Source organism: Homo sapiens, chromosome 17 (genome assembly GCF_000001405.40).
Source record: "Homo sapiens chromosome 17, GRCh38.p14 Primary Assembly".
Classification (NCBI taxonomy): Eukaryota; Metazoa; Chordata; class Mammalia; order Primates; family Hominidae; genus Homo; species Homo sapiens.
In genome coordinates, this window is record NC_000017.11 from 61,960,327 (window position 1) to 61,975,557 (window position 15,231).

Consider the following 15,231-nt stretch of genomic DNA (forward strand, 5'->3'; position numbering starts at 1 on the left):
GGCGTGATCTTGGCTCACTGCAACCTCCGCCTCCCAGAGATTCAAGTGATTCTCCTGCCTCAGCCTCCTGAGTAGCTGGGATTATAGGCAACCACCACCACACCCGGCTACATCCTAACATTTAAATGATAAAATTTTAAATCGCCAATTTTAGTAAATGAAGTTAACTTACTCAGTTTATTAGGGGCTATATCTTAGATGGTACATGAGAAAAGTTTAAATGTTCTATAGATACTTTACTAGACCATTTTTTTACATCTTTCAAAAATGTTCAGCTAAAATAATTGCCTCAAGCTTTATGACACAGAAGTTAGTGACCTTAATCTTTTTTGTTCATATAATAGATTAATCAAAATTATTTTTAATTATGTTAGTTATACAATATAAACATTCACTAAAGAAAAAAGTAAAAAGCACCCACAACCCCACATCTTAATATTTTAATATATATAAAACCTTCAAACTGGTTTTCTATTCATTAAAAATGAAACAAAATGTTACAAATGGAATGATATGATATATTTAGGGAAATACAAATACCTATTTGGAACATCGATGTTAATGATACAAGTTTCTAAAAGTTCTCCATATAGATCTGTGCAAGATGCAAGAATCCACCTTTGATCATGTGATAAACAGTATCCCACAAAAAGAACATTATATTTCTGTCCAGCTTCTCCAAATGTTTCTCCTAGCTCTGTCTGTTTGTCCTTCACTGGAGCCAGAATAAAAGGAGGTGCATAAAGTCGAATACACTCTGGTCTCTATAAAATAAAAAATTAAGGTATTATCATACTATACAATCTTAGAGAAATATTGCATTTAAAATGTAATTCTTATCTACCCAATTATAAGATAATTGGAAAATGACAGCTAAGCCAAAAATTGCACTTAGTTTTGCATAGTATCATAAAAATGTTGGCAGGGCACGGTGGCTCGTGCCTGTAATCCCAGCACTTTGGGAAGCACAGGTGGGCGATCACCTGAGGTCAGGAGTTCGAAACCAACCTGGCCAACATGGTGAAACTCCTCCCACACACAAAATTAGCTGGGCAAGGTGGCGCATGCCTGTAATCCCAGCTACTCAGGAGGCTGAGGCAGGAGAATCGCTTGAACCCAGGAGGCAGAGGTTGTGGTGAGCTGAGATTGCCCCACTGCACTCCAGCCTGGGTGACAAAGCAAGGCTCCATCTCAAAAAAAAAAAAAAAAAAAAAAGGTATGTATAGTCATTGAACTTCGGTCATGAAAAACATATACTTACATCAGGACTTCTAAGGGCAGTTTCCATGGCTAAACCTGGACCAAAGCCAGTCAATGTTTTCACATTGGTTGATGTTGGAAGTGGCCTCCGACACTGGGTAAAGGCCGAAAAAGCCAGGGATTTTAAATGCTGGGGATAGATTTCTCTATCTTCATGCTTCACAGGTTGCAACAGGTACTGACAAGGAATAATCTAAGAAGTATAGGCAAATATTACAAATGTTAAACTTCCAAAAGAGAATAACAGGAACTGTGGGTCTAAAACTCTAAAAACTTTTTACTAGAAAATTTACACAAAACCTAATTTAAATGAAAATTTAACGATTGTTTTCTTATCTATTATGTAGGCTTTTAATAAGTAGCCAATTTTACCAATGGGTTCTGAATTAAAGGACTATTTAAAACCTATAAAACTTTCTGGCCAGGTGTGGTGGCTCACACCTGTAATCCCAGCACTTTGGGAGGCCGAGGTGGGCAGATCACCAGGTCAAGAGATAGAGACCATCCTGGCCAACATGGTGAAACCCTGTCTCTACTAAAAACACAAAAATGAGCTGGGTGTGGTGGCATGCGCCTGTAGTCCCAGCTACTCAGGAGGCTGAGGCAGGAGAATCTCTTGAACCTGGGAGCTGGAGGTTGCAGTGAGCCGAGATCACGCCACTGCACTCCAGTCTGGCGACAGAGCGAGACTCTGTCTCAGAAAAAAAACAACAACAAAAAACTGTAAAATTTTCTATATAACAATTATATTAATAATGCCATTGACTAGTCCTGTTGAAGTCTATAAAATAAATTCAAAATTTCTTCTAACAACTTAATATGGTTAATTGCTTTCTCCTTTTCTTGCAACCTGTCTTGTTTAGGTACATGCTACATTTTTCTATTTAGGCTCATGAATTTAAAAATTGGCTTATAAAAGTAACACAGGAGAAACATTTAATGTACTTAATGGAATTTTTTTATTCTGTATTATTACTGTCATATGACTATAAAGTTTATCTTTTATAAATTCTCTAAGATTTATATTATGATATTAAAGTAAAATCAATATAATAGAACTTGGCTTTTAGATAATCAATTTGAATACAGAAAAGTAGTATCTGAAACTTCTGACAACATTAAACTGTTTTACATAATTTTAACTCACAACATCTATCACTCTTACCTGTACAGAAACAGTACTCTTGATATGAGGAGGAAGAGTCTGGACCATTTCTAGAAAGCATCGAAGTAGCCCCAATGTCCACACACTAGAAGAGTTAGTGCTCTCGTCTGTATTTTCGTATGTAAAAGGATCAATTATATAAACAACAATTGCAGGTGGATACGTGACTGCATGTGAATCACCATCTGTGGGGATTCCCACTTTATCCCGATCCATCGTGCTAAAATTTAAGGTAGAAATGAGACAAAAAGTTGTACTGTATATGCTTGGGGTAGCATCTAAGCAGGTTCTTAATATCCCCCTCCTCCCTCTTTTTTGGTGAAAGGTGTCAGAAAGCCTCTCTAAAAATGAAGGACATTTCTTTCTCGCCAAAATGAACCATAAACATTGTACATACAATTTCACAGTGTATAAAGACACTTGCCTTAAGAGGTCTTGCCTTAAATTTACCAAAAAAAAAAAAAAAAAAAAAAAAAAAAGAAAGAAAAGAAAAAAAATTCTTAAAACCATAGGGTAAGGGTATTAGATACAAAAGATGGCTTAGAGTTTAAGGGATAAAACTGAGACAAAGATAGGTCTCTTTGTCTGAGGCTATCTCAAATAGCTTACCAAATTTATAAAGGTGGCTACAGGTAGAGCTAGGCCAGAAAGAAACCACGTTTCCAGACTTATTTAATGTTCTAGTACATTTTCAGACTCTCTCTCTCTATATATGTGTATATATATATCTTTTTTTTGAGATGGGAGTCTCACTATGTTGACCAGGTTGGTCTTGAACTCTTGGTCTCAAGCAACCCTCCTGCCTTAGCCTCTCAAAGTGCTAGGATTACAGGCATGAGCCACTTCACCTGGTCCCATTTTTAGACTATATACATTTATTTCATACTTTACAGCTTCAATGGTGTACAAGTTTCATTCTTTGATGGGTGATTTGATTTTTTTACACTTCAAATCTATTCATATGTTCAAGATGAGTGTATCAATCTCGATAATGGTTTGTTTTTACCCACATATGAGTATAATTTTGGGCACAACTGCATCCTGGGTAGCTGACAGATATAATTAAGCTCTGGCCAACTTGGCCTATAAATCAAAAGGGAAGATCAAAACCTTCATCAAAAAAGGAATGAGAGCTGTCATAATCATTCTTGTCACTATAAATAACTTGGAATCACTGTGTAAAGTACTTAATGTATATTATATCATATTACTCTCATCTTACAGATAAGAAAACATGCTCAGAAAGTTAGAGTTTCCCCGAAGTCACAAAGCAGGTAAATGGCAGAGCTGAGATTCAAACCTCAGTACAACTCTAAAGCCTCTAAATAGAGTGGGTCAATAGTGACTTCTCAATCACCAGAGTGATTTGCACAGGCAAATCTACTTGACAATTATGCCACAGAAGACTCAAATGTCATATGGGTATCTGGACTATATGGTTTTCAAGCTCTTAATTCCCACCCTCAGATTCTAGAATTCTATGATACTTTATGAAGTAAAGTCCTCATTATAATTTTATACATAAAATATTCAACACTAGGCCGGGTGCGATAGCTCATGCCTGTAATCCCAGCACTTTGGGAGGCTGAGGCAGGCAGATTGCTGAGTCCAAGAGTTCCAGACCAGCCAGGGCAACAGGGTGAAACCACATCTCTACAAAAAAGTAGCTGGGCATGGTGGTGCATGCCTGTAAGTCCCAGCTACTCAGGAGGCTGAGGTGGGAGGATCACCTGAGCCCAGGAGGTCGAGGCTGCAGTGAGCCGTGATCACGCCACTATACTCCAGCCTGGGTGACAGAGTGAGACCTTGTCTTAAAAAAAGATACAAACTAAAATTTCAAGACTAAGATAAAAAAGCACTTTATGCTCATTCAAAACGTCTTATTTAGAAAAAAAGCAGCATGGCTGGGCGTGGTGGCTCACGTCTGTAATCCCAGCACTTTGGGAAGCCATGGTGGGTGGATCACCTGAGGTCAGAAGTTTGAGACCAGCCTGGTCAACATGGCAAAACCCTGTCTCTACTAAAAATACAAAAATTAGCCAGGCGTGGTGGCACATGCCTGTAATTCCAGCTACTAGGGAGGCTGAGGGAGGAGAATCACTTGAACTCGGGAGGCAGAGGTTGCAGTGAGTGCAGATCCCACCACTGCAGTACAGCCTGCGCAAAAGAGTGAGACTGTGTCTCAAGAAAAAAAAAGAAAGAAGCAGCATCATAGTTTTTATATTTCTGCAAAAATCAGTATTTTTAAAGGTACCTTTCAGACACATCAGGATGCGGCTGAGTGGGAAGTGAAGATGATTCTCCAGAAATCCCAGCTGTCTGTAGAGCTGATGTCTGTTGCCCTCCTAGCTGACCACTCTGAACTGTATTTGCTTGTGTAGACATGGATCCTGCAGCATTACTGTTCATACTGCCAAAGGGTGGAAACGAAGGTAGTTTATTTGATGATACTCCACTATTCAAGTTGGAGGATGATGAAGATGAAGTTGAAGCTGTGGTCAAAGTTGAATTAGCTGTGGCAACTGAAGTAGATATGGCAACACCTGAAGTCACTGTCATAGTGCTGCTCGCTGCAGATGCTAAGGTGGCAGATGGAGTATTAGCATTTCCAGTATTTGTCATCTGAGGTGGAGTAATCAAAGACTGACTTGTAGGGGCAACTAAATTTGGCTGGGAAAGTAGAGAGCTGTCCAATGGCAGGGAAGCAAGATAAGGACCTAAAGAATAAAAACAGGTACGAAATTTAATTCTTTATTTCACTGACTGGTTTTTTTAAATTCTACTGTGTAAACAGAATCATAATCCAGTTGATGTTTTCTTGGTAATTATAGCCCCGAAATTGCTTGCTAATGGTGTGACCTACACTTGCTTTCTATTTTCCCCTAGAGACTGAAGAAACATATTTAAAATGGAATTGAAAAAGCCAGAATTTTCACTCAAAATTAAAGAAATGATTACTATGAAAGTGTAACAAAATTCTATTTTCTAAGTATAATTAAATGTAAAAAAGGTATCTAGCAATATTCATCAAACTATTCAAAGGGTTTCTAAATCACAAATCAAATAAATATTGACTACATTGACAGCTAATTAAAATATAAAATGGTATAATGTTATGGGGTTCAAATTATAGGAATGTCTAATGAGATTCAATATTTTGGTTCTGCATCTCTTTGGATTAAGTCTAAAGGAAGTCCACTGATCTTTATTTTCAAGAGTATTTATAAGCAATACAGTTAGGCACGGGTAGAATGAAAGAAAAAAAGTATGTAACAAGCAAGTCTTAAACAGCTGTCGTTTTCTTAGCTACAACAAAGAACTATTTCTTGGTTTGGTAGAGATTAACTATAAATTATTTTATCTCTAAACTGTAACAAATGAAGAATCTTCAAGTTATTAAAACATCAGACCCTACAGAGGCAACAGAAAATTTATTTATAACCCATAATTTCTTCCTACCTGATGGGATCCCTCATTAGGGATCAGCAAACTTGTTCTGTAAAGGGTCAGATAATAAATATTTTTGTCTTTGCAGCCACACAGTCTCTATGAAAACTACTCAGCTCCAATGTTGTAGCACAAAAGCAGCCAGAGAAAATACATAAATGAGGATGGCTGTGTTCCAATAAAATTTTATCTACAAAAACAGCTGGTGGAGCAGGCCACATTTTGCTAACACCAGCCTTATACAATAAATACAAATTCAATACCTAGGTCATATCTGCAGACTTGTGCATAAAGCTTGAGTTTAGAAAATGCTTCATTGTTACCGTCAGCTGCCTGAGAAAACCATTCTGCTACCAACTTTTCTGATAGTTTCTTTGATGCAGTAGATCCAACTCTCATGATCCCATCTGTTAACAGTCGAGAAACAGGTCTATGTTGACCTAATCGACAGGACTACAAATATACATACAGAAAGCAGAATTAGTAAATTTATTATTGTATTTAGATACACATTATAAAACCAACCATGAAAGCTACTTAAAATAAGCTTAACCATTTGCAATTAACAGTTATGATAAAAATATCAAGGGTGTTTTTAGAAGTAGGCCAAAAAAATAAACATATCAAGGGTGAAATGGTGCCATAGGTCTTTTTCATTTTTACATTAGAAATTCATTAATTTTTTTTCAAAATTAAAATATCTCTAATGAAAAAACACCTAGATAACAATAGTACTAGAACCATTTTGTTTGAATAAAAGCTTGCAGAATGCAGACATAAGTGAGCATAAAAATGCAGTCATTTTAGGTATACATTAACACCAATTCATGAATTATGAATACAAATATCCCTAAATCAAAGCAAAATAAAAATTGTTATACAAATATATTTATACACCTTCTCCCTCTAGTTCTGTGAGTCACTGATTTTTGTTATTAGAAGCCCAATGTTAAATAAATTTAAAACATTGGATTAAGCAAACTTAGAAGAGTTCTTTACTGTAAGAATTTCAAAGCCTTTAAAAACCTAATATGAATTGTAAATCTCTAAAAGGTAATATAATATACAATGTTTCCCCAAGCCTATTTAACTATGGAACTTTTTCTCTGAGAGGATTTTACCGGACTGATATTCCAAATAACACCCTTTGGGAAATGTTTATTTATTAAAAACACACTACAAATACCTTGTAATTATGTGGAAAATTTTAAAAGGAAGCTAAACTAACATACACTAACATTCAGATTGTATAAGGAATCAAAATTTAAAGACTAAATTTCGAAGCCTTTGTGGAAAAAGGAGGGAATAATAAAGTAAGACTTTATGTCCCATAACACTTATAATTTACAATTATTGCGCCTGGTGATGGATATGTGAGAATTATAACTTAAAAGAAGAGGCAAGAATTTCAGACCTGAAATGGACCTTAGTGATATCTAGCATAGATTTATTTTACATATGAGGAAAGTGAGGCCTAGTGTCACTACCTGAAATCCTAGAGAATAAAGACTAGAATTTTTGTAAATGTAACTTTTTTCCTGGCTATTTAACATTGTTACCCTTTGTTTTAGAAAAAGCCACATTAAAAGGGATATATATCTATATGCCCTCAATGTTTCTTCCTCCTATAGGGGGATAGCCACTCTGACCCACGGCATACACATCTAACAGACTGGGTCAAACTCAGCAAAGAATGTAACTGGCTAGTATGAGAAATAAACATCTAATCTGACATCATCACTGTGTCCCAATCAACTGAACTGCCCAGTATGCTGTATATACAACAATACAAATCGTAAGGTAGTTTTAAAATGTCATCTCTTTTTAAACACCTACCTCATATATTGCAGTAAGATCTCTAAAAAAGCTTTTTGCTCCATTTAACAAGGCTTCATTTTCTGGACACAGTACAACATAGGCTATATCTCTTTGAGATCCATAGGGTTCCAGCATAAGTCTCTCCCAATAAGGAAGAGCAAATGGAGAAAGCACCAGATAATCATAATCATAACCCAACAAAAATGTGGGGATTGGCAGTGGTTCTGGGGATTCATCAGTTCCTAAATAAGAAAGATGTATTTTAAGAAAACACTTAAAAACAAGACATGTCTCCTTTTTATTTATTTATTTATTTATTTATTTTTTGAGACAGAGTCTCGCTCTGTCGCCCAGACTGGAGTGCAGTGGCGCCATCTCGGCTCACTGCAAGCTCCGCCTCCCGCGTTCACGCCATTTTCCTGCCTCAGCCTCCTGAGTAGCTGGGACTGCAAGTGCCTGCCACCACGCCTGGCTAATTTTTTGTATTTTTTAGTAGAGACGAGGTTTCACCGTGTTAGCCAGGATGGTCTCGAGCTCCTGACCTTGTGTCCGCCCACCTCGGCCTCCCAAAGTGCTGGGATTACAGGTGTGAGCCACCATGCCCGGCCTCCTTTTTATTTAAATGTCAAAAGTTAATGAAGTCATTATTAGTGAAAATATTTTATTAGAGACAAAAATACTTAATGCCAGTGGTCAAGACTTTTCAACATTAAGGAATTTCCTAAACAAGTCTTTTTATTTACTTATTTTTTTGAGACAGGGTCTTGCTCTATTGCCCAGATTAGACTGCAGTGGAACAATCACGCCTTACTGCAGCATTAACCTGCTGGGCTCAAGCAATCCTCTGTCCTCAGCTTCCCGAATAGCTGGGACTACAGGTGTGTGCCACTATGCTTAGCTAATTTTTAAAGTTTTTGTAGAGATGGGATCTTGCTGTGTTGCCCAGGGTGGACTCAAACTCCTGAGCTCAAGTGATCCTCCTTCCTCAGCCTCCCAAAGTGCTGGGATTACGTGCAGGAGCCACCACGTCTGGTCTGCATTTAAATTTTTGGCATGGGGCTGGGTGCAGTGGCTCACACCTGTAATTTCAGCACTTTGGGAGGCCGAGGTGGGCAGATCACCTGAGGCTGGGAGTTTAAGACCAGCCTGACCAACATGGAGAAAGCCTGTCTCTATTAAAAATACAAAATTAGCCGGGCATGGTGGTGCATGCCTGTAATCCCAGCTACTCAGGAGGCTGAAGCAGAATTGCTTGAACCCAGGGGGTGGAGGTTGCGGTGAGCTGAGATTGCACCAGTGCACGTCAGCCCAGGCAAAAAGAGCAAAACTCCATCTCAAAAACAAACAAACAAAAAATTGGCATAAAAATACACTGTAGGCCAGGTGCTGTGGCTCATGCCTGTAATCTCAGCACCTTGGGAGACTGAGGTGGGAGGATTACTTGAGCCCAGGAGTTTGAGGCCTAGGCAACATAGTGAGACACCATCCTTATTTATACATTTAAAAATAATATAATTTAAAAAATAGAAAAAAGAAAAAACCTTACTAAGAGCGCAGATCTCATGTTAAGTGTTCTTTCTTTTAGTTTTTTTTTGTTTTGTTTTTGAGACAGTCTTGCTCTGTTGCCTAGGCTGCAGTGCAGTGGTGCGATCTCCACTCACTCCAACCTCCACCTCCTGGGTTCAAGCAATTATCTCACCTCAGCCTCCTGAGTAGCTGGGATTATAGGCACACATCACCATACCGGGATAATTTTTGAATTTTTGGTAGAGATGGGGTTTCACCATGTTGGCCAGGCTGGTTTCAAACTCCTGACCTCAAGTGATCTGCCCACCTCGGCCTCCCAAAGTGCTGGGATTACAGGCGTGAGTCGTCATGCCTGGTGAGTGTTCTTACCATAATAAAAAAATTTTTAAAAGAAAATGACCAACAACCTAATAGAAAAATGGGTTAAGAACATGGAGATTACAAAACAAAACTATCTCTAACACATAAAAAGATGCTCTTTCTCATTAAAAAAGCAATTTAAAATTAATAATAGCAAACAATGATAATTCTATGTGCTAGGTACTGTTCAAAGCTCTTTGCATGTACTAACTCATTTAATCCTCACAAAAAACATAAGGCAGAAACTATTATTAACTTCATTTTAGAGATGAGAAAACATAAATGAGGAAGTTAAGCAATTTCTCTAGCATTTCACAAGAAGTAGCAGAGTAGGAATTTAAACCCAAGAAATCTATCCCCACAGTCTGTACTATTTAATCTCTCAAACTATAATGGGAAATAACCATTTTTCATCCACTGAATCAGCATCCTACTAGGCAAGGCTTTGGGAAAACAGGCACTTTAACTGGTGGGAATTCAAACTGATATTACAGGGGCTGGGCATGGTGGCTCACGCCTGTAATCTCAGCACTTTGGGAGGCCTAGGTAGGTGGATCACTTGAGGCAAGCAGTTCAAGAACAGACTGGGCAAGATGGCAAAATCCCATCTCTAGTAAAAATACAAAAATTAGCCAGGTGTGGTTAATGCATGCCTGTAATCCCAGCTACTCGTGAGGCTGATGCATGAGAACTGCTTGAACCTGGGAGGCAGAGGGTGCAGTGAGCTAAGATCATGCCACTGCACTCCAGTCTGGGCAAGAGAGTGAGACTGTCTCAAAAAAAAAAAAAAAAAAAAAAAAGGCATTACAGATAGTTATTTAGGTTTTTTTTTTTTTTTTCTTGAAATACACGTCTGGGTGCTTATAATCCTAGCCCTTTGGGAGGGTGAGTTGGGCAGATCACTAGGGCCCAGGAGTTGGAGACCAGCCTGGGCAACATGGCAAAACCTCATCTCTACAAAATATACAAAAATTAGCTGGGTGTGGTGGTGAGCACCTGTAGTACCAGCTACTTGGCAGGCTGAGGTGAGAGGATCACTTGGACCCAGGAGGTTATGGCTGCAGTGAGCCATGATTGTGCCACTGTACTCCAGCCAGGGTGACAGAACAAATCTCAAAAATAATAATAATAAATAAAATAAAAATACACCCATGCTTTAAAGCCAGGGATCTGTGCATTACTGAAAAGTAGCTGTAATGATAATGGTGGTAACAATTTGTATGTTCATAAACACTGCACTGGTAAAATATATTATCATATGTAAGGAACAATGGAATACATATAGCCATAAAAAAAGATAATCTCTATATGTGCAGATAGAAATGATCTCCAAAATCAGTTAAGGTACAGAAATAAATAAATAAATATCTACTTTTTTTTTTTTTTTTTTGAGATGGAGTTTCGCTTTTGTTGCCTAGGCTGGAGTACAATGGCGCGATCTCGGCTCATGGCAACCTCGGCTGGCGGCAACCTGCGCCTCCCGGGTTCAAGTGATTCTTCTTCTCCTGCCACAGCCTCTCAAGTAGCTGGGATTACAGACACGCACCACCATGCCCGGCTTATTTTGTATTTTTAGTAGAGACGGGGTTTCTCCACGTTGGTCAGGCTGGTCTTGAAGAACTCCCAACTTCAGGTGATGCACCTGCCTTGGCCTTCAAAAGTGCTAAGATTACAGGCGTGAGCCACCACGCCGGCTACCATCTTAGTTTTTAAAATAATGTAAAAGTTTATACTAAAATATATTTTCTGGCCGGGCACAGTGGCTCATGCCTGTAATCCCAGCACTTAGGGAGGCTGAGGCAGGCAGATCACCTGAGGCCAGGAGTTTGAAACCAGCCCGGCCAACGTGATGAAACCCTGTCTCTACTAAAAGTAAAAAAATGAGCCGGGCATGGTGGCGTGCACCCATACTCCCAGCTGTTCGGGAGGCTAAGCCAGGAGAATTGTGTGAACCCAGGAGGCGGAGGTTACGGTGAGCCAAGACGGCGCCAGTGCACTCCAGCCTGGGCGACAAAGCGAGACTCTGTCTCCAAAAAAAACCAAATAAATAAAATAAAATAAAATAAAATATATTTTCATTGACCTGCATTTTTCACAGAATATTAGTTTTGTAATGAGATTTAAATTATTTAGCCATTAAAAGAGGGAGAAAAGGAAAATATAGGCAAATCTACTACTTTCATATGTAATACATTCCAAATCCATACACAAAAGTCAAAGATTTCAAGACGTATCATTCCAAATATATCTGAAAAACTCCAATTACGGCCCACCTTTCAGAGACAATCTTCAACAAATAATTCAAATATTTGGAATGGCATTTTCATCACAGCTGACAATAAATCTGCATACCTATTATGAGAATTCATTTGCTACTCTGGTCACAACCAGCAAATTTCTTCTTAGTTGTAATTCTTTTTAAATGAAGACCTTAGGGGGCCTTTTATCACTAGTATAACCCTCATTTCCCACTCCACCTCCCTTTTTCATTTAATTTTGTAAAATAAATAACAAAAGTATTTTTTTTGCCTTTAAAAAAAAAATCTAAGCAGTATGTCCCTTTCTTCATGTAAAATCTTGAGGGAAAGCCCCCTATGTGTAAGAACAGACCTAAGAGAAGCCACTCCTTTTGAAGTGGAGTTGGAGAGTTGAGTAAGCTGAATGTTGGAAATGGTGGGAAAAAAAGCTAGGATTGGACCACAGTGGCCTTAAGAATATATCACAAATATATTTAAAGAAAACTAATGTGCTTATTCTAGTTGGGCACAGAAATCTGAGGACTGATATAAAATTAGTCATTATATATCACTATAAATTACTTACCATAAGAGCCTCGGCCAGCCATTTTATGAAATTGTTGCCAAGTGAGAGGACCCTGAACACCCCAAGGTCTTACTGTTCTTTTTTTCTGAATGGCATCCTGAAGAACTGGCTGAAGAGAGAGGAGCATTCGAAGTATATCCTGTGAGCACTGCATACTCACATCTACAAGCATTTTAAAAAAAACAAGTAATTAAGAATTGCTATTGCCAACACAAATAAAATTTTAAGATAATACAAAACACATATAGGGAAGTTCAGGTCTTCAGCATCAAGAAGATTAAACCCTTACTTGTGCAGAGAATTGCATTAAGTTCTACAAGATGATCTGTAAAAAGGTTCTTCTAGATTCTTACAACCAAGAAGACACACAATAAAAAGTTACTGTAACTTATTTCCATAAAAAGTCATTCATTAGCTGATTAATCAATTTATAAATTAATCAAATAAATTTCTTTCTTTTTGCATTTATGTTGGCTGTTTTGGTGCTGTAGGTATTTTACCAGAAAGAAGTCTGCCTCACATTGAAATTATATCCCATCATTAGCACTACTATGGTAAAGTGAATAAAGACTGGTCATAATTATTAAAGTTTAATTTGAAAAAAAAAGTAGACTTTAACAATTCTAAAATACAGAAATTATACAGTAACTTGCTCACACTGCTAAAAAGTATATTATCCATAAATATTTTATAAGCTTATACATCTTAAATATTTATAAATTATCAAATTATGACCTGCATTTCTGACCAACTATCAGAATGGGTATGAAAGGTGCTCCTCATAAATGTCAAATGGCTAAAGGAAAAATCACTAAAAGATATTGATATAATAAATGTGGCCCCCAGAATGGTCCAGTTGTACCACTAAACCTGTTTGAGCACAGTTATATTAAATTATTCAATTTTAATTCGTTATTACCTTTGCCTAGTTTATCGTTATTGGCCCCAATTTCCTATACCTAAAAAGTGTAGTGGCTGGGCCCAGTGGCTCACACCTGTAATTCCAGCACTTTGGGAGGCCAAGGCGGGTGGACTGTTTGAGGTCAGGAGTTTGAGACCAGCCTGGCCAACACAGTGAAACCCTGTCTCTACCAAAAAATATAAAACTTAGCCAGGCATGGTGGCACATGCCTGTAATCCCAGCTACTCGGGAGGCTAAGGCAGGAGAATCGCTTAAACCCAGAAGGCAGGGGTTGCAGTGAGCCGAGATCATGGCATTGCACTCCAGCTTGGGTGACAAAGTGAGAGCCTGTTGTCTCAAAAAACAAAAACAAAAACAAAAAAAAGTGTACGGAACTAGATAAAACTAAGTTCCAAATACAATACTTAATATGTAATATGCTTAAATAAACTTTTGTATACATAGTAGAATACTACTTAGTAGTTGAAAATGCTAACGGGCCGGGCTTGGGTGGTGGCTCATGCCTGTAATTGCAGCACTTTGGGAGACTGAGGCAGTCAGACTGCTCGAGCTTAGGAGGTCACAGGCAGCCTGCGCAACATGGCAAAACCCTGTCTCTACAAAAAGTTAGCTGGGTATGGTGCCACACGCCTGTGGTCCCAGCTACTCAGGAGACTGAAGTGGGAGGATCACTTGAACCCATGAGGTCAAGGTTACAGTGAGCCATGATAGCGTAACACTGCACTTCAGCCTGGACAACAGAGCGAGACCCTTTCTCAAAAATAAATAAATAAAGATGATCACAAAAAAATACCTATCAAGTACTATGCTTATTACCTGCATGACAAAATAATCTGTATGCTGACCCCCAGGACACAAGTTTACCTTTTACTTAATATAACAAACCTGGCACATGTACCCATAACCTAAAAGTTAAAAAAAAAGGAGTGATCATGGAGGATAATCAATCAATAGAAATAAACTGAAAATCCAGAAATCAAACCTCATGCTTATGATAAATTGATTTTTGACAAAGGTACCAAGACAACTTAAAGATAACATTTTTCCATAGATGATTCTGGGACAACTAGATATCCACATGCAAAAGAATGAAGTCAGAACCCTTCCATATACTATACACAAAAAATTCAGAATGGATCAGAGATCTAAATATAAGAGCTAAAACTACAAAGTTATTTCAAAAAAGTAATAGGAGTAAATTTTCAAGACCTTGGGTTAGGTCCTGACCTAGACATCAAAAGCACAAGCAACAAGAGAAAAAATAAATTGGACTTCATCAAAATTAAAAATGTTTGTGCTTCAAAGAATACCATCAAGAAAGTAAAAAGATTTCACATCCTATGGAGATATGAAAAACAGGAAAGTGAAAAGAAGCTGAGTGTGATAGTAGGCCCCTGCAGTCCTAGCTACTTGGGGAGGCTGCAGCGGGAGGATCCCTTGAATCCAAGAGTTTGAGACCAGCCTGGGCAAAGTAGCAAGACCCCGTATCTTAAAAAAAAAAAAAATGAAAAGACAATCCAGAGTACAGGAGAAAATATATGCAAATCACACATGTGATAAGGGGGCTTATATCCTTGTATCCAAGATATATAAAGAACTCAGGATTCAACAATACATAAAAACCTAATTTTAAAAACGGGCAAAAAATCTGAAAAGTCATTTCTCCAAAGAAGATATACAAATGGACAACAAGCACATGAAACAATCTTCAACATTATTAGTCATTAGGGAAATGCAGATGAAACCACAATGAGATACTACTTCACACAAAGTATCACAATGAGATACTTTGATTATAAGATGACTATAATAAGAAAAACAATGTGACAAGTGTAAGTGAAACCCTCATATATTGCTGGTAGTTATGTAAAATGGTGCAGCTGCTATGGAAAACAATCTGGCGGTTCCT

The 15,231-nt window shown here is 37.9% G+C and overlaps 1 protein-coding gene across 4 annotated transcripts in view; it reads right to left on the reverse strand.

The window, feature by feature from the left end:
- MED13 (mediator complex subunit 13) overlaps nucleotides 1-15,231 on the reverse strand; it is a 122,674-nt gene that overhangs the window by 17,722 nt on the left and 89,721 nt on the right. For all 4 annotated transcript variants that reach the window (XM_011525551.3, NM_005121.3, XM_011525553.4 and 1 more), the window contains 7 exons: nucleotides 12,401-12,562; nucleotides 7,709-7,932; nucleotides 6,136-6,325; nucleotides 4,680-5,142; nucleotides 2,426-2,645; nucleotides 1,262-1,453; nucleotides 541-764 (listed from right to left, as the gene is read on the reverse strand). In XM_011525551.3, the coding sequence (XP_011523853.1) occupies nucleotides 541-764; nucleotides 1,262-1,453; nucleotides 2,426-2,645; nucleotides 4,680-5,142; nucleotides 6,136-6,325; nucleotides 7,709-7,932; nucleotides 12,401-12,562 (1,675 nt within the window). The remainder of the gene's footprint in view (nucleotides 1-540; nucleotides 765-1,261; nucleotides 1,454-2,425; nucleotides 2,646-4,679; nucleotides 5,143-6,135; nucleotides 6,326-7,708; nucleotides 7,933-12,400; nucleotides 12,563-15,231) is intronic.